The sequence below is a fragment of the Homo sapiens genome, chromosome 12 (assembly GCF_000001405.40).
Source record: "Homo sapiens chromosome 12, GRCh38.p14 Primary Assembly".
NCBI classification, from domain to species: Eukaryota; Metazoa; Chordata; class Mammalia; order Primates; family Hominidae; genus Homo; species Homo sapiens.
Window position 1 is genome coordinate 55,758,839 of NC_000012.12, and position 25,467 is coordinate 55,784,305.

The 25,467-nt window shown below is 43.6% G+C and overlaps 1 protein-coding gene across 3 annotated transcripts in view; it reads right to left on the bottom strand.

The window, feature by feature from the left end:
* SARNP (SAP domain containing ribonucleoprotein) overlaps positions 1–25,467 on the bottom strand; it is a 65,262-nt gene that overhangs the window by 6,376 nt on the left and 33,419 nt on the right. For all 3 annotated transcript variants that reach the window (NR_026722.2, NR_026723.2, NM_033082.4), the window contains one exon: positions 1,713–1,802. Coding sequence is in view for 1 of the 3 variants with exons in the window: in NM_033082.4 (NP_149073.1) it covers positions 1,713–1,802 (90 nt within the window). In the remaining 2 variants the exon portion in view is untranslated. The remainder of the gene's footprint in view (positions 1–1,712; positions 1,803–25,467) is intronic.

Sequence of the window (25,467 nt, forward strand, 5' to 3'; positions counted from 1 at the left end):
TTTCTTCATAAGTTACCTAGTCTCATGTATTTCTCCTTTACAGCAATGCAAGAACAGCCTAATATACTTTTTTTTTTTTTTTTTTTGAGACAGTCTTGCTCTGTTGCCCAGGCTGGAGTACAGGGGTGCCATCTGGGCTCACTACAACCTCCACCTCAGCCTCTGGAGTAGCTGGGACTACAGGCACATGCCACCACACTCAGCTAATTTATTTTAAACTTTTAGTAGAGATGAGGTCTCACTATGTTGCCCAGGCTAGTCTCCAACTCCTGACCTCAAGTGATCCTCCCACACTGCTCTCCTAAAGTGCTGGGATTCTTTCATTTTGAGAAACTATCTGTAAACAAAGTGACAAGAACAGGAAGTCTCATTTGAGTCCACTGTCCTTTTCCAGAAATGAGTTAGGCACAACCAGTTCTTATTAAATATTTTAAAACTATCCCTTTTTATACAGAATCGTTTCACTCTTTAAATAAAACTTTGAGGTAGGTTTTATTATCTCCACTTCCTAGATGATGAAACCTGAGGCTCAGGAAGTACTGTAACTTATTAATACTAAGTGGCAAAGCCTTTTTCTTTTCTTTTTTTTTTTTTTGAGAGCAAGTCTCACTCTGTAGCCCATGTTGGAGTGGCGTGATCTTGGCTCACCGCAACCTCTGCCTCCCGGTTTCAAGAGATTCTCATGCCTCGGTCTCCAGAGTAGCTGGGATTACAGGCACATGCCACTGCACCTGGCTAATTTTTTTAAATAAGTAAATAAATAAATAAATAAATGTATTTTTAGTAGAGATGGGGTTTCACCATGTTGGCCAGGCTGATCTTGAACTCTCGACCTCAGGTAATCTGCCTGCCTCAGCCTCCCAAAGTGCTAGGATTATAGGCGTAAGCCACCATGCCCGGCCGCCTTTTTCTTTTTTGAGACAGGGTCTCACTCTATTGCCCAGGCTGGAGTACAGTGGCGCCATCCAGGTTCACTGCAGCCTTGACCTCCTGGGCTTAAGTGATCCTCCCATCTCAGCCTCCTGAGTAGCTGGGACTATAGGTGTGTGCCACCACGCCTAGCTAATTTTTGTATTTTTAGTAGAGACAGGGTTTCTCCATGTTGCCCAGGCTGGTCTCAAACTCCTGGGCTCAAGAGATCTGCCTGCCTCAGCCTCCCAAAGTGCTAAGATTACAGGCATGAGCCACCACACCCAGCCCAGAGCCAATTTTAGAATCCAAGCCTACCTGATTCCAAACGTTATACTCTTTGCCACTAGTCTAACAGACTCTAACACTGAATTAAGTATATTGATGGAATTCAGTGTTGCCACTTCACCCAGAAAAAAAGTTATCAAGAAAAAAGCAAAATATTTGGACACTTAAGAAGTAGGTGGGTGGCCAGACATAGTGGCTCATGCCTATAATAATCCCAGCAATTTGGGAGCTGAGTGCAGAGGATCGCTTGAGCCCAGGAGTTTGAGACCAGCCTGAGCAACAGAATGAGACCCCATCTCTACTTAAATAAATAAATAATTAAGAAGTAGGTGGGAAAACAGTGTTTCTCTACTCAGTTTATTCACTCTCACTTCCTGGGCAACAGAGACCCCAACTCGACTTAAATAAGTAAATAAATAAATAAATAAATAGGTGGGGAAACAATATTTCTCCATTCAGTTTATTCACTCTAATTTCCCTTCAAGGTCTATGAAGCGTTCCAGGTATATTTTTACCTCTGTATCCTCTGTGGTTCCAGTTCCAGCTGAACTTGTGACAATCCCAAATCGCTCCTTCCTCTTTTTCAGTTTCTCATCATCTTCAGACTGTTCAAGGACAAAGGAAAGAGTTGAAACAAACTAGCCTCCATTCACCAAGTAAATGGGAATGAAATGATAACTTATTGGTCACAAGGTGCTAACCAACCCTGTGCCAAGAACTAAGGATCACATAAAGAGATAAGATACATAAGAAACTGAATAAGCTAGCATATACTATGTTGTACCTAGAATGACTAAAAACTTAATTTTAGGCAGGGCCTCAATACTCATAAGACAAGTAGGGTAAAGAAACAGTAAGAGGCCGGGCACGGTGACTCACACCTGTAATCCTAGCACTTTGGGAGGCTGAGGCGGGTGGATCAGGCAGTCAGGAGTTCAACACCAGCCTGGCCAAGATGATGAAACCCCATTTCGACTAAAAATACAAAAAAATTAGCTGGGTGTGGTGGCGGGCGCCTGTAATCCCAGCTACTAGGGAGGCTGAGGCAGAGAACTGCTTGAACCTGGGAGGCAGAAGTTGCACTGAGCTGAGATTGCACCACTGCACTCCAGCCTGGGTGACAGAGTGAGACTCTGTCTCAAAAAAAAAAATAATAAATAAAATAAACAGTAAGAAACACCCATAAAACAAATTTCTATGCTCAAGCAATTCTGGCAGTTGAGGGATATGGAAAACTGAGGTTTCACTGAATAACACCCAAAGTTACACCTAGTAACACCTAGTTAGAAGGTACCCAAACTACTTGTTGAACAATGCTTACACGTTACCAAGGAAAGAAAGGGGAAGAGGGCCAGAGTGGTATTTCTGAAAAACTTATTTGCTTGAAACACCCAGCAAAGCCATAGAAGGCTCTGAATAGTTTGAAATGATTCTTAAAACAGGTGAATCAAGGTGACAGCCATGGTCAACTCTCTAAGAGAAATGCTGTGGACATTTTCCAAGCATCTGTGAAACTCATGATGTCTGCCTGGGAATGAGAGAATATTTCAGTTTACCATGAGTTGGAGCTCGCCATTATTCTAGGTGTTTTGTATCATTCATGTCCAACACTGCTCAGTATAAGAGTCTATATATTTTCCTATCAGAACCTAAACCCTACCATTTTATTTAGCCCACTTTAACAGTTATTTTCTCTTTCTCCACCTCCCCCTCACATCTTATCACCAGTCATCAGAAGCTCAGCCTCAGGATTAGAAAACATCTGAAATCAGGTAGGCTCCTCGGGTGTCTTTCCCCCAGGAAGGACTTTCTAAAATTTGGCACATATATAAAAAGATCTCATTCTCTCATAATCTCAAGAGACCCTCTACTCCCTAGAGATGTACCCATCCTCACTAAAGAGCAGGACAGTTTCTTTGACTTTATTTACGTTGTTAACCCAACAGAAGGACAGATAAGCAAGAGTTCAAACAAGGGCACAGTGGCTCACACCTGTAATTCCAGCACTTTGGGAGGCCAAGGCAAGCAGATCACTTGAGGTCAGGAGTTGGAGACCAGCCTGGCCAACATGGTGAAACCCATCTTTACTAAACATACAAAAATTGGCCAAGCATGGCCGCAGGTGCCTGTAATCCCAGCTACTTGGGAGGCTGAGGCAGGAAAATAGCTTGAACCCAGGAGGCGGAGGTTACAGTGAGCTGAGATCATGCCATTGCAGTCCAGCCTGGGTAGACAGAGTGGGACTCCGTCTCCAAAGAGTTCAAACAAACTTTTTTTTTTTTTTTTTTGAGACAGAGTCTTACTTCGTTACCCAGGCTGGAGTGCAGTGGCACAATCTCAGCTCACTGCAACCTGTGCCTCCCAAGTAGCTGGACTACAGGCATGTGCCACCATGCCCGGCCAATTTTGTATTTTTAGTAGAGACGGGGTTTCTCCATGTTGGTCAGGCTGGTCTCGAACTCCCAACCTCAGGTGATCCGCCCACCTTGGCCTCCCAAAGTGCTGGGATTACAGGTGTGAGCCACTGCGCCTGGCCTCAAACAAACTTTTAAAGAATGTCTGTGTGGTGCTTCTGAGCTGGATTTGTTTTTAAATCCCAAGGAAATTATAGTCCTACAGTCTATAGGCAGGCTGTGTCTCTGGGTGTCCCAAAACTACAAGGTCAAAAGCAAAGGTAACAAAAAGACCTACAGAAATATACAGCAATTTTTCAATGCCTCTACTCTCAACCCCAACCAAGGAGTTGTCTTTGTCCCTGTGGCCACAGCAGCCACCTGTACAAATCAAAAGCAGGGCAGCTATCCAGCTTTCTGTGCTCAATTTAACTAGTCCACCTGTCTGAACACAGCAGGCAGGAGTACTGTCTTGGTCTTTAACTCTTTCAGCTTGAGAAAGATGTTCATTTTCTCCCTTTTGCTGCACCTGCTTTCTAGTGAGTAGGAAGAGACCTAAGAAAGAATGATGGTTATGAAGCAATTAAGAATCCTATACAAGTTATCATTTAATCACAGTTTATTACTAGAATAAACTACTGCCTACACAGTTTTTCTGCCTTTCTCATTATGACCACCAGCAAATCCATAGCGGGTACCTCATTAATGTACTCTGAACTATTGTAAAAACATTAAGCCAGGTTCAAAGAAAAACATAAGTATTCTTGTCCTTAATAATAATAAATTAAAATAATAACATTATAGCCATGAACATCTGAGTGCTTAGTATATGCCAGGTACTGTGTGCAGTTCTTTACACATGCAATATCTCATTTACTACTTTTTTTTTTTTTTTTCCCCAGAGACAGAGTCTCGCTCTGTCGCCCAGGCTGGAGTGCAGTGGTGCCATCTTGGCTCAATGCAGTCTCCACCTTCCAGGTTCAAGGGATTCTCCCGCCTCAGCCTCCTGAGTAGCTGGGACTACATGCGCACGCCACCACACCTAATTTTTGTATTTTTAGTAGAGATGGGGTTTCGCCACGTTAGCCAAACTGGTCTCGAACTCCTGACCTCAGGTGATCCGCCCACTTCGCCTTCCAAAGTGTTGGGATTACAGGCGTGAGCCACTGCATCCAGGCTCATTTACTACTTTATTTTAATTTTTGCAGAGAGGGGGATCTCGCTATGTTTCCCAGGCTAGTCTTGAACTCCTGGGCTCAATCAATCCTCTTGCCTCAGCCTCCCAAAGTGCTGGGATTACAGGTGTGAGCCACTGTACCTGGCATCATTTACTTCTTATAATAATCCTATGGAGTAGGCACAGCAATTAAATTCATTTCATAGATAGGAAAATTTAGTCTTGGAGAGATTAAGTGACTCACCCAAAATTTCACAAATAATACGAGGATTGGAATCCAGGACATTTTACTCAGGAATCCACTTTCTTAGCCTTACCACCTCCTCAAGGTATCTCACTTAAGTATTTCTTTGGAAGAACAGTAGGACAATTAAGTGCTTAACTCCCAAGGAGGAAGGATCACTAGAACCCTTAGCTAAAAAAACTTGTAAATTTTAATCACATCACTCAAATAATCAGGTCAAGAATACTAGGACCCCTTCTTCTAACGTACCATATACCTACAATTTATAAGTAACAGTATCTAGGAAAAGGGCTCCAGTTAGTAATCTTGTACTAATGTTTTTCTCAGCTAAATCTGGTTCTAATTTTGCTTAATTGGCTATTCCATTTGTTGAGATGTAATAAAAGAATAAGGGGCTGGGAGCAGTGGCTCACATCTGTAATCCCACCACTTTGAGAAAATCCCAGGAAGGATCTTCTAAAATCCTGAGGTCGGGAGTTCGAGACCAGCCTGACCAACATGGAGAAACCCCGCCTCTACTAAAAATACAAAATTAGCTGGGCGTGGTGGCGCATGCCTGTAATCCCAGCTACTTGGGAGGCTGAGGCAGGAGAAGCGCTTGAACCCGGGAGGTGGAGGTTGCGGTGAGCCGAGATCTCGCCATTGCACTCCAGCCTGGGCAACAAGAGCGAAACTCCATTTCAAAAAAAAAAAAAAAAAGAATAAGGCTGGGCGCAGTGGCTCACACCGGTAATCCCAGCACTTTGGGAGGCCGAGGCAGGCAAATCACAAGGTCAAGATATAGAGACTATCCTGGCCAACATGGTGAAACCCCATCTCTATTAAAAAAAATACAAAAATTAGCTGGGTGTGGTGGCGAGTAGTAGTCCCTACTCGGGAAGCTGAGGCAGGAGAATCACTTGAACCCGAGAGGCGGAGGTTGCAGGGAGCCAAGATCACGCCACTGCACTCCAGCCTGGCAACAGAGCCAGACTCTGTCTCACAAAAAAAAAAAAAAAAAAAAAGGAAGGTTTCCAACAAACATTAAGTCCCACCACATTTTTTACTAACAAAGTCAAGGGGGAAAGTTTCCTTGATCTACTACCACTAAGATAAAGTGAATACGGAATATAAATGGGGATTTCAAGTTGAGAACCTCTAGAATGTTCTAGTTGATATATCTTCACTAAGTCTCCCGGCCAAGTAGGAAACAGTTTTCAGGAAAATAAATGGAGCCTCTCTTCTTGCGGAGAGGCAAGACTAGACCACTATCTTGTTAAACTACCATTATAAACTTTTTTCCATTCAATTTAGCACTAGCAGTACTTCAGCAAGTTCAAATCACAGAGGAGATAAGACTTTTGAAACCCAGACATTATATAAGCACAAACCCTGAGGCCAAGCCCTCCCCCAACGTATGTCCACTTGGAATGTGCGGGCCAGTTTTGCTTCTCCTGGTTCTTTATTTGGCTATATCCTCAAATGGGGAGTCTGATTTCCCCATTAGCCACCTGCCTCGCTGCCCACGTTTTTTAGAGACAGGGCCTCACTCTGTTGCCATGCTGTCGTGCAGTAGCATGATCATGGCTCACTGTAATGTTGAATCCCTGGGCTCAAGTAATCCTCCAACCTTAGCCTCCTCAGTAGCTAAGAACTAAAGGTATGTGCCATGCCTGGCTAATTTTTTTTTTTTTTTAATAGAGACAGGGTCTTGCTATGTTGCCTAGACTGGTTTCAAACTCCCGGACTCAAGCAATCCTTTCACCTCGCCTCCCAAAGTGCTGGGATTACAGGCATGAGCCACCACACCCAGCCTAGCTTCCCTTTTAAACAAGATCTTTGGTGCCTCTTCAGGAGATACAGGCAGAGCATCTGTTCTAAACCCATTAGGGGTTCCAGGGGAAAACAACAACAACAATACATCGTTCCCCCAACCCTCCACAAATAGCCTGCTCTTCCCTCCCCACCCAGCACCCCTCAGCTCCTCTCTTAAAGCCTCTTTCCTCCTTTCCCTGCAGGGAAAGTGCACAACTGGGCCCAGTAAATCAACACAGTTCTAATGATCTCTCTCACTTGACCCTTCTAGCGTGACGGTGTTGCATGGAAACAAACGTACAATAAACTTCACTCCATCTTTAGCTCCTTGCTGACAGGTTTTGATTCATGGGATGGTGAACCCCATCTGAGGGAAATTACCTCGATCAAAACTCATGTCTCTCTGCATTCATCAGGCCAATGCTCCCTCAGGCCATGCTCAAGTGCACAAATGGGGTTGTGGCATCTGCAGGCAGCAGTGACCCCTCTAGCTCAGTGTCACATGCATTTGAAAACCTTTCCCTTCTTCATCCCTCCCCCACTACCCTCTCTCAAACCCTCAGCTACTAACAAATCTCTTTTTTCTTCCCATGCATACTCCTGTGTGAGAAGAGAAGTGCTTGAATCTGAAGTGCCCTTATTTCCTATCAAATCTATACTCCTAAAAACAAACAATTTGCACCCAAAATCAAGAGAAAACTGTCCTTACTGGCCAAATACATTCATTGGATGTTCAGATTAATCCATACATTTCAATTCCTCCCTCCTCTTCCATCTCAAGATTTAAAACACCAAGCCAACCGACAGATGCCAGTAATTTCAGTATATACAAACCTCATGGTACCTAATACCTGTCTTGTTCGCTTTCCTTAAGATCTCATTTATAAACATGAGAAACAATTGTGCAAAAGAGGAGAGAGTACCTATATAAGAACAGAAAGCATAGTCTATATATTTTGTGGGTTTTTTTGGCGGGGGGGGGGGGGGGGTTGTTTTTTTGAGACAGTCTCACTCTGTCACCCAGGCTGGAGTGTAGTGGCTCAATGTCAGCTCACTGCAACCTCCACCTCCCAGGCTCAAGGGAGCTTCTTACCTCAGCCTTCCAAGCAGCTGGGACCACAGGCGCAAGCCAACACGCCCAACTAATTTTTGTTTTTTTGTAGAGAGAGGGTTTCACCATGTTGCCCAGGCTGGTCTTGAACTCCTAAGCTCAAGCAATCTACCCGCCTCTGCCGCCTAGTCTCTGCCTCCTAGTCTCTGCCTCCCAAAGTGCTAGGATTACAGGAATGAGCTACCATGCCCAGCCCCAGGGTCTATATTTAATAAAACCAAATACCCTTAGTATCATTGTATTTTCCATTGTAGAATACAGTTCCAAACTGAGCCCTTGAAAACAATACCTGAAAGAGAAAAGACAGACATTCAAGCCTGCTCCAAGATACAAATTACATGTGTAAAGAGTGCTTTGCACACAGGAACTATAAAAGGTATTCAATAAATGTTAGCTATTACTTTTATTGCCGTATTTCTCCTGGTCCTTGAAACAAAGTTTGAGATCACAATCAAAATTTAAGCTAACAATGCCATTCATTCTTCTAGATAAGAAGTGAAATCATGGTGGCCTAGTGTGGTGGTTCACACATGCCATCCCAAGCACTTTGGGAGGCTGAGGTGGGAGGATCACTTGAGCCCAGGAGTTCAAGACCAACCTGGGCAACATAGTGAGACCCCATCTCTACCAAAAAAAAAAAAAAATTTAGCTGGGCATGGTGGTACATGCCTGTGGTTCCAGCTACTCGAGAGGCTGATGGGGGAGGACTGCTTGAGCCAAGGAGGTTGAGGCTGCAGTGGGCCATTGTCACGCCGCTGCACTTCAGTCTGGGCAACAGAGTGAGATCTTGTCTCAAAAATATACAAATACAAGCCGGGCACAGTGGCTCATGCCTGTAATCCCAGCACTTTGGGAGGCCGAGACGGGTGGATCACGAGGTCAGGAGATCGAGACCATCCTGGCTAACACGGTGAAACCCCGTCTCTACTAAATATACAAAAAATTAGCCAGGCATGGTGGCGGGCGCCTGTAGTCCCAGCTACTCGGGAGGCTGAGGCAGGAGAATGGTGTGAACCCGGGAGGCAGAGCTTGCAGTGAGCCGAGATCGCGCCACTGCACTCCAGCCTAGGCAACAGAGCGAGACTCCCTCTCAGAAAAAAAAAAAAAAAAAAAAAAAGGATATACACACACACACACAAATACAAATAAACAAATAAATAAATGAGCAAAATCACCAAAGGCTGGTAAGAATTAGATCCATTACCAAGGCAACAAGAAAATTCCCTTTAGCTTCAAGGAAAATGAGTATATATTTGGACAGATGACTAAGGGTTAAAATTTGGGTTGTGGAAGAACAGTTACTGGACAAAATCAGTCTTCTCCACAAAGTCCTATTAACCATCTCCCTCCTTCCCTCCCTCTCTCTCTCTCTTATTTATTTATTTATTTAGAGACAGAGTCTCACTCTGTCACCAGGCTGGAGCGCAAAGGCGTGACATCGGCTCACTGCAACCTCCGCCTCCCGGGTTCAGGCGATTCTCCTGCCCCAGCCTCCCAAGTAGCTGGGATTACAGGTGCCTGCCACCACGCCCAGCTAATTTTTTTTTTAATTTTTAGTAGAGACAGGGTTTCTCCATGTTGGCTTGGCTGGTCTCGAACTCCTGACCTCAGGTGATCCGCCTACCTCAGCCTCCCACAGTGCTGGGATTACAGGCATGAGCCACCGTGCCCAGCCCTCTTATTTTTTTGAGACTGAGTCCCACTCCATCGCCCAGGCTAGAGTGTAGTGGCGCGATCTCGGCTCACTGCAACCCCCACCTCCCGGGTTCATGAGATTCTCCTGCCTCAGCCTCTGGAGTAGCTGGGATTACAGGTGCCCACCACCACCACACCAGGCTAATTTTTGTATTTTTAGTAGAGACAGGGTTTCACCAAGTCAGCCAGGCTGGTCTCGAACTCCTGACCTCAGGCGATCCACCCGCCGCAGCCTCCCAAAGTGCTAGGATTACAGGCGTGAGCTACCATGTCCAGCCTCTTTCTTTTTTTTGAGACAAAGTCTCATTCTGTTGCCCAGGCTGCAGTGCAATGGCACGATCTCGGCTCACTGCAATCTCCGTCTCCTGGGTTTAAGCGATTCTCCTGTCTCAGCCTCTCAAGTAGCTGGGATTACAGGTGTAAGCCCTATGCCCAGCTAATTTTTTGTATTTTTAGTAGAGATGGGGTTTCACCATGTTGGCCAGGCTGGTCTTGAACCTCAAGTGATCCACCCTCCTCAGCCTCTCAAAGTGCTGGGATTACAGGTGTGAGCCACCATGCCAGGCCAAACTATCTTCTCTTTCTCAGACCTTGAAAATCTGGGCTGCTAGGCTTTGCTGATTTCATAAACCCTAATAATTAACGACTAACAATAAAAGATATCTATTTAAGGTAATATATGAGGGGACTGGGCAAGGATCTAACCTCTATCTATGTAGATCCAATCCCAGGTTCTCTAAAGGCCCCTGAGGAATCTCTTTCACTGAATTATGTGACATCAGGTTCAATCAACATTTTCAATAGCATTGTAGCCATAAAATTAATTAATTCATTCAGTAGTCAAATGAGTATCTACTTTGGGTCAGGTACTGGGAATACAGAGATCAATAAGATAAAGTTAAGGAATAAGAACCTTAACTTCACGAGGCTTATGAATTCACCAAGTTACTATAAAGGTGTATACTACTGTTCTTTACATAACTACATTATGAGGACTCATAACGGAAATTTGCTTTCTAGCCCCCAGATCCAAAAGAGTTATGCTTTTCTTGGGCAACTTGCTAGCTTTTTACCTTCTGAATCTTGTGAATCACCATAAACAGTGCAACTGTGCTTTCCCTTTCTACTGGCTGCCATAAAGTTTGGAGCCAAATGTGTGGCCTACCTTTAGCAAGTGATTTTGAACATACAAATGGTCTCCAACTTATGATGCTTTGCCTTAAGATTTTTCAACTTTACAACGGCGAACGATGCATGCTCAGTAGAAACTATACTTGACGTATCCATACAACCACTCTGTTCACTTTCGGTATTCAATAAGTTACATGAGATAATCAACACTTTATTACAAAATAGGCTTTGTGTTAGATGATTTTGCCCAACTGCAGACTAATATAAGTGTTCTGGGATTTTTAAGGTCAACTAGCTAAGCTATGATGTTCAGAAGGTTAGGTGTATTAAATGCACTTTTGACTTAAGACGGGTTTTTATCAGGACATAGCCCCCATTGTAAGGAGAGGAGTATCTGTGTTTCTATTAGAAGAGAGAGGCCAGAGGTATTGAAGTGAGAGAGAAACATGAAATCCAGAGATGAAAAGCAAACACACAGAAACAGAGATAGGAATTTAGAAAGCAAGATGAAGTGTAGTTAGTTACAGGGTTGCTGCTGGTCCCTTAAGAACGTACTCCTCTATAAACATAATGGAATTTATTTTAAAATACTCAATGTCCTCAGAAGAAAAAAGAGAGAGGAAAGAGTCATCAGGTTATAACTAGAATTTTTTTTTTTTTTTTGAGATGGAGTCTCGCTCTGTCGCCCAGGCTGGAGTGCAGTGGCGTGATCTCAGCTCACTGCAAGCTCCGCCTCCTGGGTTCAGGCCATTCTCCTGCCTCAGTCTCCCGAGTAGCTGGGACTTACAGGCGCCCACCACCACGCCCAGCTAGGTTTTTTTTTTTTTTTTCCGTATTTTTAGTAGAGACGGGTTTACACCGTGTTAGCCAGGATGGTCTCGATCTCCTGACCTCATGATCCGCCTGCCTCAGTCTCCCAAAGTGCTGTGATTACAGGCATGAGCCACCACGCCCAGCCTATAACTAGAAATTTTAAATTAAGGGTTCTTAGCAATGATTTCCATGGCATATATACTGTAGCCAGGAAGTAAGTTGCAAAAGGAAGATCAGATGCAACAATTGGCAGCTGAATACCACAGATATTTTCTAAAGTGTCTGTTCCCTTTTTACAGCAGAGTACCATTACTATGTCTACCCAAAATGGAGTTCTAACTTTATTTTCTAAACCCAACCTGTGTCTTCAAGATATAAAGTCATGAGAACATTTTTCAAAACTTACTAATTTTATCCTAAATACAGTAAAGAATACTGCTCCTTGCTTGTGTGCCATGGCTGTTTACTCTGCCAAAAGGGGTCCAATTTGATGTAATTAGCATCCCATGGGTTGTGTGTTGAAAGCATTCACCTTCTTCAATCTTTTTTTTTTTTTTTTTTAACAGAGTTTCGCTCTTGTTGCCCAAGCTGGAGTGTGCAATGATGTGATCTCGGCTCACTGCAACCTCTCCTTCCCGGGTTCAAGTGATTCTCCTGCCTCAGCCTCCCAAGTAGCTGGGATTACAGGCGCATGCCACCACGCCTGGCTGTTTTTTGTTTGTTTGTTTGTTTGTTTGTATTTTTAGTAGAAACGGGGTTTCACCATGTTAGCCAGGCTGGTCTCGAACTCCTGACCTCAGGTGATCCGCCTGCCCCGGCCTCCCAAAGTGCTGGGATTGCAGGTGTGAGCCACTGTGCCCGGCCCACCTTCTTCAATCTTATTACCAGTGCCACTCCGGATCATATAAAAAGAAACTAGGAGAAACAAAGCAAAGTGTAACCCAAGCATCATTAGGAATTTGAACTCAGTAATTCCCAAGAACACAAAGCATGAGTACTTTCACTGGATTCAAATAAGAAACATCGTTATTCTCTGCGACCAAAAGAATTAACCAAGCCAGGCACTGTTCCTGGTCAAGTGTAACAAGCTCACTCACTTATCATCCCTCCTTATACCATGTGTGAGAAGCAGAAATTCCAATCTAAAGAGTCCAGTCAGAAAAATCCTTAGAAGCAGAAAGAAGCATTTCAGGGGAGCTCAGGTACTGCTATTATTTTCCCCCTCAAAAGTCTTTTCCCTAGAGTGATGGAAGAGAGGCTGACAGAGAGCTAAGATGTCATATTTCACAAAAATAACAAATAACTGCCCCCCTTTGTAAATGAGTTACCATACTAAGATGTTAATAGTTCTCAGGCCAGTCTGATTTCCAAAGGAATGTAAGGTAGCATGGCAAAAAGGAAAAGAGGGAGCCTGAATCTCAGTGCCACGTGACTGATGGCAGGATGAAAAGCAGAGCCTGGGGGCTTTCAGGCGATGGTAGATTAATGATGACACGGCCTTGACTTCCCAGAGGTAAAGGTTATGAAACACTCCAGGGTAAGCGAGCTTCCAATTTCATACTCTCAGGATGAATGACAGCAACTGATGGTTATTCTCTCAGAAACACTTGGATGCTTAAAAACACAGCTGTCACCTCCCCTGCCCCAGTTTCTGAAACTGTTTATTCCCGAGCCTTTATGCCAACCAGACGACAGAACATAGGGTGGTCCCAAAAATCAATGCACAGAGCTTAAGTAGATGAAGGTGAGAGACCAGACTAGCAGCAAGTACACCGCCTTAGCAAATAATATGGTAGAGACACTCCAACACTATCCACACATATACACATAACACACCTCCCCAATATAACCACCTTAACCTACTCTCAATAATCTCTTTCAAGTGTGAGATCAGTATCAACTTTCTAGGGCTGGTAGGGTGCTAGGAACTTTAAAGTTACACGACAATTAGAGAACACCAGGAATTGCATCTCCTCTTATCTTCACAGGATTTGAAGCCCAAGAACACAGTCAGCTCAGAACCACTCACTCACTAGGTTCTACCACTTTTTCTTTCTCTTGTCCAAATCAAGCTCTTTCCCCAACCCCCACTCCTCTTCAACCCCAGAGGAGGTCGTTTCGGTCTTGCTCTAGCTGATTGTAGGACAAAGCAAGGCAGGCAGAGGAAATGAAGGTGTCACACTTGACACCCCCAGAAATCAAGTTTCTATTAAAAGTCCCCATCTCCCTCCTTTAAAAGCCAAGGAGCTGCTGCTTTTGAGGATAAGTGATGCAGAGCCTGGCAGAAATGTCAAGAAGTCAGTAGAGGGAAGCTGAAACTTTTTTTTTTTTTTTTTTTGAGACAGAGTTTTGCTCTTTCTGCCCAGGATGGAGTGCAATGGCATGATCTCAGCTCACCACAACCTTCACCTCCCGGGTTCAAGTGATTCTCCTGCCTCAGCCTCCCGAGTAGCTGGGATTACAGGCACGCAACACCACGCCCGGCTAATTTTGTATTTTTCAGTAGAGACAGGGTTTCTCCATGTTGGCCAGGCTGGTCTCTAACTTCCAATCTCAGGTGATCTGCCCGCCTCGGCCTCCCAAAGTGCTGGGATTACAGGCGTGAGCCACCATGCCCAGCCTGGGAAGCTGAAACTTTTCAGGAGACGTGAATGCTGTCTTAGCCAAAACATACAGAGAAGGGAGGACAGTTACCTGACCATTCAGAAATTTAGAGTGAGCACTAGGAAAACAGATTATTTTCATCTAAAGTATTTAAAAATGCAGATTTCAGGCCACAACCCAACCTAATTAATCTGTATCTCAAAAGGGAAGGCCTACAGAGCTGTATTTTTTAAAGGGTCCCCTGTAACCCTTACATGCAACCATTATTTGGGGCCAATTTCAAGTAGCTTTGAAAAAATATAGACCAAACAACTTTTTAAAATTTCTCATCAAGTCCAAGTAAGACTCCCATCCTGCTCCAATTATCTCCTATAAATGCTAAGGGTATTCCAAAGTTTATGCTTCCTACAAAAACTATTTCAGCTGCAGAGATGTGAGGGGTAAAAAGAGAGATGTGAAGAAATCACAGAGGACTCTAGGTAGCACACCTGTCTTATTGCTCTCCTACAATTCAAATAGAAAAGCAGAGAGAATCTTTCATCATAGTTCAATACAGAAAGAACGTGCCAAAACAAGATCAGGGCACACTGCAGTTATGTGGGGAAAAGAGGGAGGCAACTAGGTTGCAGCACACAAAGGCATTTTTTCCTACAGAACTGACACAAAGGAAAAGGAGTAATATCAATAAAGTGGGGGAAAAGGAAAATGGGATTTCTTCTTCTTCTTTTTTGAGACAGAGTTTTGCTCTTGTCGCCCAGGCTGGAGTGCAATGGTGCGATCTCTGCTCACTGCAACCCTCCACCTCCCAGGTTCAAGTGATTCTCCTGCCTCAGCCTCCTGAGTAGCTGGGAATACAGGTGCCCACCACACCAGCTAATTTTTGTATTTTTAGTAGAGACGGGGTTTCACCATGTTGGCCAGGCTGGTCCCGAACTCCTGACCTCAAGTGATCCACCCGCCTTGGCCTCCCAAAATGCTAGGATTACAGGCATGAGCCAATGCACCTGGCCCTTTTTTCTTTTTGAGACAGAGTCTCTCGCTCTGTCACCCAGGCTGGAGTGCAGTGGCACAACCATAGCTCGCTGCAGCCTGGACCTCCTTGGCTCAAGCAATCCTCCCACCTCAGCCTCCCAAGTAGCTGGGACTTCAGGCATGCCACCCCACCCAGCTAATTGTTTATTTTCTTGTAGAGACAAGGTCTCACTATGCTGCACAGGCTGGTCTCAATTCCTGGGCTCAAGTGATCCTCCCACTCTGGCCTCCCAAAGTGTTGGGATTACAGGCACGAGCCACTGTACCACATTTGTTCATTTCTAACTGCTCCTTCTTTTCAACCACCTCATACCTAAGCATGGGTACGATATGCAAATTCTGTAACTGACTCCTCTATACCCCAATAAACTCCCTACCAATAATTACTTTCTAATGTCAAGATCAACGGGCTAGGCACGGTGGCTCATGCCTGTAATCCCAGGACTTTGGGAGGCCTACGTGGGTGGATCACTTTGAGGTCAAGAGTTCAAGACCAGCCTAGCCGACACGGTGAAACCCCGTCTCTACTGAAAAAAAAAAAAAAACAAACAAAAAAAAAAAAACAAAAATTAGCCAGGTGTGGCGGCATGCACCTGTAATCCCAGCTACTCGGGAGGTTGAGGCAGGAAAATTGATTAAACCCAGGAAGTGGAGGTTGCAGTGGGAGGTTCCAGCTTGGGTGACAAGAGCAAAAGCACCCTCAAAATAAATAAATAAAATAAAATGAAGTCCAGCTCAAGTATTTCAAATATAATCTCCTTCTCAGTTACGCATCTCCCCTGCCAGGGATTTCCAGATTTAATATTTGTTACAAACTCCAAATATACAACACCCTGAAAACACATTTCTATTTGTTTTTTTTTTTTTTTTTTTGGCAGATGGAGTCTCGCTCTGTCGCCCAGACTGGAGCACAGTGGCGCAATCTTGGCTCACTGCAACCTCCACCTCCCAGGTTTAAGCCATTCTCCTGCCTCAGCCTCCCAAATAGCTGGGATTACAAGTGTGTGCCACCACACCCGACTAATTTTTTTGTATTTTTAGTAGAGATGGGGTTTCACCGTGTTAGCCAGGATGGTCTCCATCTCCTGACCTCGTGATCCGCCTGCCTCAGCCTCCCAAAGCACTGGGATTACAGGTGCGAGCCACCACGCCCAGCCACACATTTCTATTTCTTTCCTAAGAATATGCTCTGGGAGTTAAAAGGTTAAAATTAAAAAAAAAAAAAAAAAAGAACATGAAAAAAAGATGGACAAGCATGGTGGCTCACGCCTGTAATCCCCAGCACTTTAGGAGGCTGAGGTGGGTGGATCACCCAAAGTCAGGAGTTCGAGACCAGCCTGGCCAACATGGGTGAAACCCGGCCTCTACCAAAGATACAAAAATTAGCCGGGCATGGTGGTGCATACTTGCAGTCCCAGCTACTCAGGAGGCTGAGGCAGGAGAATTGTTTGAACCCAGGAGGCAGAGATTTGCAGTGAGCTGGGATCGCGCTCTGTCTCAAAAAAAAAAAAACAAAAAACAAAAACAAAAAAAAAAAACTATGAAAAAAAGAGTAGCAAAGGAAGGGGAGAGGAAGAAAGGAGTTAAAATTTTCTAGATCTTAACAAGGGACTTCATATTATATTAAAAATGGGGTCTTTGCTAATTTACAAACATCACCAACAAGTATTCCCCTTAAAACATCTCCAATTTGATGTCCTGCCTCATCCCCACCTCCATCTCCAAAATACTATGGGATCTGACCTTCTTCAGCTATCAGTCATGAAGAGCAACTCTGCTATTTTGGTGAGTATATAAGAAAATGAACTATCCCATAATTGTTCAATCTTATTTTAACTGAACCCACATATATAAGCCTCTCAAGTATTAACATACATTCTAAACATTCCCATTCTGCCATTGCTCTCACATGAGGAGCCTTTAACCAAAATTTCCTATCAAAAAAATTAATCACATACACATATACCAAAAAATTCCTTCCCCAACACCACTTTATTTCCTCCCATACAGACTCTGAAGGATATACAGTTGTCCCTCAGTATCCAAGAAGTAATGGTTCAAGGACCACCCCTGCCTCCACCCGCAGATACCAAAATCTGTGGGTGCTCAAGTCCCTTATATAAAATGACATAAGGCTAGGTGCAGTGGCTTCCGTCTGCAATCCAAGCACTTTGAGAGGCAAGAGGACTCCTTGAGCCCAGGAGTTTGATACCAGCCTGGGCAAAATAGGGAGACCCTGTCTCTGCAAACTAAAATTAGCCGGGTGTGGTGGTGCATGCCTGTGGTCCCAGCTACTTGTTGGGGATGAGGTGGGATTACTTGAGCCTAGGAGGTGGAGGCTGCAGTGAGCCATGATCTGGGACACGGCACTCTATAAGTGAGACCACATCTTTAAAAACAAAACAAAACAAAAAAATAGCATAGTATTTGCATATAAACTATGCTCATCCGCCTACATACTTTAAATCATCTCTAGAGTACTTATGTATAAATAGCTGTTATACAATACTGCTTCATTTGTATTATTTTTTATTGTTGTATTTTTCCCCCCAAATGCTTTTGATCCACAGATGTGGAACCCATGGATACAGAGGGCTGAGTATACTTGGATTCAGAGAGCTCACATTTCACCACAGCTGGGGAGAGTATCTGGGAGTGTGGATAGATATTGCTTCACTTAGAAAGGCCAGGCCAACTATCTATCACCCTAAAATTAGATATACAACTGGATATAATGTAATTTTTAAAATTATTTACCTTATGTACTAAGAGTGGTACTTTCAAAAGAAAAAAGAAAAAACTCTTACCCAGACAATAAGCCCATCTCAAGAACCAGGCTGGCAAAAACAACTGAACCAGTTTGTCTGGCAAAAACAAACTGAATATTGAAAAGTAAAACAGACTTAACAGAATCCAGCACTCTTCTCCCTTTCAGGCTGTGTTTACTCTTGTGGCAAAGACGAGCAGGGGGCCAAAGAGAGGCATAAAACTTGTTTTTTATCAAAGTCATCAGTTCTGACACGTTAGACGAAGGAATGCAAAGACATTATGGAGGGGGTATTGACCAGGGAAAATAGAAAAGAGTTTTTTCTTACTACAAATTTCTTTACCTGAAGTTCTTCAGGTGCAAATTCAATGAATGAAATCAGAGAGAAATACATAAAATTAAAAGGTACAAGAGCTTAATGATCTCAGCCATGCACCTTTAGGGAAGTCTAAACATCTAACATAACTTTCCCAAATACCTAGTTTACAGTAAATATAGGGCAAGGCACCAGCCATGAATGTTGACATAGCATCAAAAATTTCACCTTGTTTCTCTAAATTTTAAAAACTTTTCCTTTTTTTTTTATTTTTTTTTTTGAGATGGAGTCTCGCTCTGTCGCCCAGGCTGGAGTGCAGTGGCACCATCTAGGCTCACTGCAACCTCTGCCTCCCGGGTTCAAGCGATTCTCCTGCCTCAGCCTCCCGAGTAGCTGGGACTACGGGCACATGCCACCATGCGCTGCTAATTTTTTGTATTTTTAGTAGAGACAGGGTTTCATCATGTTAGCCAGGATGTTCTCGATCTCCTGACCTCATGATCCACCTGCCTCGGCCTCCCTAAGTGCTGGTATTACAGGTGTGAGCCACCACACCCAGCCAAACCTTTCCTCTTAAAATGTTCAACTTATATGTCTAACGTCTCTTGTCCAATTTTTTCCTCATACACTGGCTACGTAAAAAGTATGTGTTGGAGGATTAGGGAATAGTGGGACAGTAGAAAGAGAAGTTGAGCAAAGAAACACCTGTCTCCTACTTCTCTGGTTGAATTTAGAATACATTGTCTAGCGCCCTAGTTAGGAGAGAGAAAAATTCCATTCTGCCTCTTTGCTCTTCCAAATTCCTATAGCCAAGTTGTTCAACAGCAGTTGAATGGCACACATAATTGACATCATTGATTGGAACCATAATAAAAGTAAGAAGTGTGGGTGTGGGGGAAACTGGGAAGGGAGGGAGATGATGTATTTGTGTTACAGACAAAAGACAAGTTCTGTTCCTCCGCAGGGACAAATGAAGAACCAGATGATGGAATAAACTGAGGTCAGAGAGTTTCCCCCATTGTTTCCTCTTTTTTTTAATTATTATTATTTTTGAGAGCAAGTCTCTCTCTGTTGCCCAGGCTGGAGTGCAGTGGCATGATCTCAGCTTACTGAGACCTCCACCTCCACGGTTCAAGCAATTCTCGTGATTCAGCCTCCCGAGTAGTTGGGACTACAGGTGTGAGCCAACACACTCAGCTAATTTTTGTATTTTTAGTAAAGATGGGGTTTCACCATGTTGGCCAGGCTGGTCTCAAACTCCTGACCTGAGGTGATCTGCCTGCCTCGGCCTCTCAAAGTGCTGAGATTACAAGTGTGAGCCACTGTGCTGACCTGTTTCCCCTTTAAACAGCTCCTTTTACCACTCCCTCAAAGTTTGTTCCATTGGGAGGGTGGAGAAAAGTAGTGTCTTTTTTTTATCTTAAAGGGGAGGAGACAGAAAAGAAGAAAACAGATATAGGATTACACGTTGTATCTCTCCTTGAAAAGGCCCAATATTTATTTTCAAAGTATTATGAATGAAAAGGGAATGTAAAGGAGTGGTTAAATATTTGTTTAGTCTTAAAAATGCTCCAAGAGGCCAGGTGTGGTAGCTCACGCCTGTAATCCCAGCACTTTGGGAGGCTGAGGCTGGCGGATCACAAGATCAGGAGTTTAAGATCAGCTTGGCCAACATGGTGAAACTCTGTCTCTACTAAAGATACAAAAAATTAGCCGGGCATGGTGGCGCACACTTGTAATCCAAGCTATTCAGGAGGCTGAGGCAGGAGAATCACTTGAACCTGAGAGGCAGAGGTTGCAGTGAGCCAAGATCGTGCCATTGCACTCCAGCCTGGGCGACAGGGCGAGACTGTCTCAAAAAGCAAAGCAAAACAAAACAAAACAAAACAAAACAAAACACAAAACACAAAAAACTAAACAAACAAAAAACTCCAAGAATGTTATCTAAGAAATCCTGAAGACTATGTGAGGTTGAGTTTTAGCTTTTCCTGAAATTTATCTTCTAAGATAACCACTCTCTCAACTGCTATCTCTATCTACCATAGAGTTATCTTCTTTCCTTGTTGGTTAATCTAAGTTGAAAAGAACATAGTTATTCAAATGGAAGAAGGATTTTGGGGAAAACTGATAACCTAGGATGAAGGAGGGGGGAAATTCCCCCAAAAGCTCTTGATCAGTGAGGTATCAATGGCTGAGGGAGCCTACGTTGAGTTTTGTTTTTTCCACTTAGATGTCTACTATCTGCGTTTTTCTTGGTCCCATGGCTGTATGAGAAAGAGAAATGGAGAATTAAATTTTACACTAAGCCTAGGCACTGCTGCTTGAGTATATTTGAATAGAACCCAAACTTACTAAGCAGGCTACTTTTCCAACTTACTCTGGAAACTAATTCTTCTACCACTACTTCCTTTAAAGATATTCTACCAAACTCTTCACCATAGCTTATGGTTCCTTAGGTTTATAAAGTTCCATGTTGGTAATATCCTATGCATGGCCCCATCATTCTTCCTTTGGAAAAGGTTTATACAGCCATACTTAAACTAAGAAATCCTAATTACAGACCCTCTGAGAAGACTGATGACCAACTTCTAAATCCATAGTACAGTAGTCCCTCTTATACAAGGGGGATACATTCCAAAACCCCCTGAAGCCACGAATAGTACCAAACCCTATATATACTATGATTTTACCTGTAATTTTAATTTATAAATTAGACACAATAAAAGATTAATAGCAATAATGAAATAGAACAGGCCAGGCATGGTGGCCCAACCCTGCAATCCCAGCAGTTTGCGAGACCAAGGCGGGAGGATCACTTGAGCCCAAGAGTTTGAGACCAGCTTGGGTAACACAGTGAGACCCTGTCTCCACAAAAAAATTGAAAAATTGACCGGGCGTGTTGGTCTGTGCCTGTAGTCCCAGCTACTCAGGAGGCTGAGGTGGGAGGGTCACTTAAACCCGGGAGGTGGAGGCTGCAGTTAGCTGTGATCATGCCACTGCACTTCAGCCTGGGCGACAGAGCAAGACCTTGTCTCCAAATAAGTAAATAAATAAATAAGGCCGGGCACAGTGGCTCATGCCTGTAATCTCAGCACTTTGGGAGGCCAAGGTGGATAGATCACAAGGTCAGGAGTTCAAGACCAGCCTGGCCAATATGGTGGAACCCCATCTCTATTAAAAACACACAAAAAATTAGCCGGGCATAGTAGCACATGCCCGTAATCCCAGCTATTCGGGAGGCTGAGGCAGGAGAATTGCTTGAACCTGGGAGGCAGAGGTTGCAGTGAGCTCAGATTGCGCCACTGCATTCCAGCCTGGGCAACAGAGCAACTCTGTCTCAAAAAATGAAAAAGAAAGAAAAGAGAAGAGAAGAGAAGAGAAAAGAAAAGAAAAGAAAAGAAAGAAAGATTAGCTGGGCATAGTGGCACATGCCTGTAATCCCAGCTACTTGGGAAGCTGAAGCAGGAGAATCACTTGAACCCGGGAAGCAGAGGTTGCAGTGATCCGAGATCACGCCATTGCACTCCACCCTGGGCAACAAGTGCAAAACTCTGTCTCAAAAAAAAAAAATTATAACAATATGCCAGCATCACTACTCTTGTGCATTAGGGCCAATATTAAGTAAAATAACAGTTACTTCAACACAAGCATTGCTCTAATGGGGAAGTAGTAGGGATATGCTGGACAAGGGGATGATTCACATACCCGAGCAGAACAGGGCAAGATTTTATCATGCTACTCAGAACAGTGTGCAATTTAAAACTTATAAACTGTTTGTTTCTGGAATTTCCCATTTAATATTTTAGGACTGTGGTTGACTGAGGGTAACTGAAACAACGGAAAGCACAACCACAGATAAGGGAGGACTGCTGTATGAACTTCTTTCATCTTTCCACATCCCAATGGCTAACCTCTACACCAAAACCTATCACTGAAGTGAAGGAACAAACAAATATTTCTTCACTTATTTCAGATGGTGGGAGAATAGAAGACAGAATACAATAGGCCCTCCAGAAGAGAATGAATTGAGAAAACAGCATGCCATCAGTTAGCTACAATGAAATCTGTATGCTAGAAGACTGGTGGCTATCTGTACTTTGAATTGACTTTGTCTCAGCTTCCTCTTTGGTACCTCAACATAGTTAAGTGACAAGCTCCTCAAAAACAAGGCAGGTCCCTTTGGGAGGCCAAGGCAGGCAGATCACAAAGTCAGGAGTTCGAGACCAGCCTGGTCAACATGGCGAAACCCCATCTCTACTAAAAATACAAAAATTAGCCAGGCGTTGTGGCGGGTGACTGCAATCCCAGCTACTTGGGAGGTCAAGGCAGGAGAATTGCTTAAAACCGGAAGGCAGAGGTTGCAGTGAGCTGAGATTGCGCTGCTCCACTTCAGCCTGGGCAAAAGAGCGAAACTCCGTCTCAAAAAAAAAAAAAAACAAAAACAAAAACAAACAGACAAAAAATAACAAGGCAGGTCCAATATCTCACTCACTGTGAAGTGGTTCATCTCCTACCAACGGTGATAAAAAATGTAATACAAAAGTCTCATGAAAATGATCACTGCAGCTATCCAAGAATATTCTAGTTTATTTTCAACCTTTTTATATTCTTTTTTGTTGTTGTTCAGATAGGGTCTTGCTCTGTTTCCCAGGCTGAAATGCAGTGATGCCATCATGGCTTACTGCAGCCTTGACCTCCTGGACTCAAGCAATGCCTTCCCCTCGGCCTTTCAAGGAGCTGGGACTACCGGCACTCACTACCATGCCTGGCTGTTCTTATTTTTTGTAGAGATAGGGTCTTATTATGTTGCCCAGGATGGTCTCGAACTCCTGGGATCAAACTCCTAAAGTACTGGAGCTAGGATTACAGGTGTGAACCTCTGTGCCCAGTCTAAACTTTTTATATTGTGACACTGTGTTAACACAGATCATAACCATCAGGAAAGAAGAGTGGCAAAAATCATAAACCTGGGAAAAGTATCCTTCAAGGTTTACTGGACTTAAGACAACTCTTTAGGACAGTTACCTATATGAAGGGCTGGAAGTAGAAAAACTCTGGTACTATTCTAATAGATAAAAAAGGAAGATGTACTAAGGTCAATAAGGATATAAAATGCTTGTACCTTCTACTAGTAATCAAGAATCAGTAACATATACTGCCCTCACATTCCTGGGGAAGGAGAAGAGTATCAACCACATTCCAGTTTTCTGCTTAGTGCCTGGGATTAGACTTGCTTTGTTTTTTAAATACCCATGTAGATGGATTTCCTATAATGTCCTAAAGTATGAAGTTTCTCCTTTCCGAGGGTGCCAATGTTTGAAAAATACCAAACAATCCACTCAAATTAGCACAGCAGTTAATACTACAGTACTAAGCCCAGACTTAGTTTTTACCAAAACTAATATCCTCTGACTACAAATAGATTAACTGAGCTGGCTTTATTCCCTCTATCCATCTCCCACTCTTTTCTTTCTTTTTTAAAATTTTTTAGGGAGATGGGGTCTCACTCCATCACTCAGGCTGGTGTGCAGTGGTATGAACATGGCTCACTGCAGTCTCGAGTTCCTAGGCTCAAGCAATCCTCCCACCTCAGTCTCCTAAGTAGCTGGGACCACAGGCATGTGCCACACTGCACCTGGCTAATTTGTTTTTACATTTTATAGAAGACAGGGTCTCACTATGTTGCCCAGGCTTCAAACTCCTTTCCAAGATGAGTTTCCAGCCGCAATGGCTCATGGCCGTAATCTCAGCACTTTGGGAGGCTGAGGCTGGCGGACTGCTTGAGTCCAGGAGTTCAAGACCAGCCTGGGCAACATGGTGAAACCCCATCTCTACAAAAAATACTAAAATTAGCTGGGTGTGGTGGCGCACGCCTGTAGTCCTAGCTACTCAGGAGGCTGAGGTGGGAGGATCACTTGACCCTGGAGGCTGAGGCTGCAGTGAGCTATCATTGCGCCACTGTACTCCAGCCTGGGTGACAGAGTTAGACCCTGTCTTAAAAAAATAATAAAAATGGTTTCCTATGTGCTAAGTTCTGTCCTTCACCAACGGCACTGACCCAAACACTACTCCTCTTGGGAGGCATGGGAAACAGATAGAGAAAAAACAACCAGTCAAGCACAAGACAGAAAACCTAGCTGGCAATCAATCAGAGCAAACCAGGTAGATGTTATTTATCTGAGTTTTGTTGTTTGAGGGGGGTGGGTGGGAGGTTTATTAGTCCATAGTCACCATGCGACTTATGAGAAAAGTCATGCCACTCTATCCTCAAACAGTCCAAAGAATTGAAGGGGACAATTTACAGCCTCTTGTGTAAAAAATTTCTGTAAATGCCCATGCCATTCTTTGCCTTGTCACCTTCCATTAGCCTAAACCAATAAGATTCTGTTCACTGAGACTTAAGCTGGAAACATGAACAAACAGACTTTTCTTGGGCAGAGGGAAAAGGACATGATGATTTAGGGGAGGCTGGGGGGAGGTGGGAGGAGGTGGGAGAGAGATTTCTTTACATTTCTGTGTAGTGCCTGATATGTGTATAGCATACTAGTGGAGCTAAAAACTGAAATATATAAATAGTCATGCAAAAGTCAGCCTAGGAAAAATAGCAGACTCAGGTTCTTAAATCTGTAATATGCTGAAGCCATAAATCTAAAATATGAAGAGGAGATGAGCAGATTGTGACAATTAAAAAAAAATTAGGCTGCGCACAGTGGCTAACACCTGTAATCCCAGCACTTTGGGAGGTTGAGGCAGGAGGATCACTTGAGCCCAGGAATTGGAGACCAGCCTGGGCCACACATGAGATCCTATCTCTAAAAAAAAGAAAAAAAGAAATCAATCATAAACATTATTCAATCCATGGCTCATTTGCTCTCATATACTTCCTCCCTTTATTCATATACTACACTGATCAGTAGCCAAGTCCACTAAAGAGAAATCAGCAAGCACGCAGGGTCGTAAGTTGGATCAAGCAGACAACAGAGATGACAAAAAGTGGGTTTTTCATTGTCTTGTTTAGAATACTAGGATAGAGAAGAGGCTACACTACCTGCTAACCTCCACTATTTTCACCACATCTAACTGAATAAAATCTGTGCCTAGAGAATTAAACAACCTAAAGACAAGCGACCAAATTATATAGAAGGCTACACTGGAACCCAGAATCCCAGGATGAAGTGGACAAAAGTATGCTC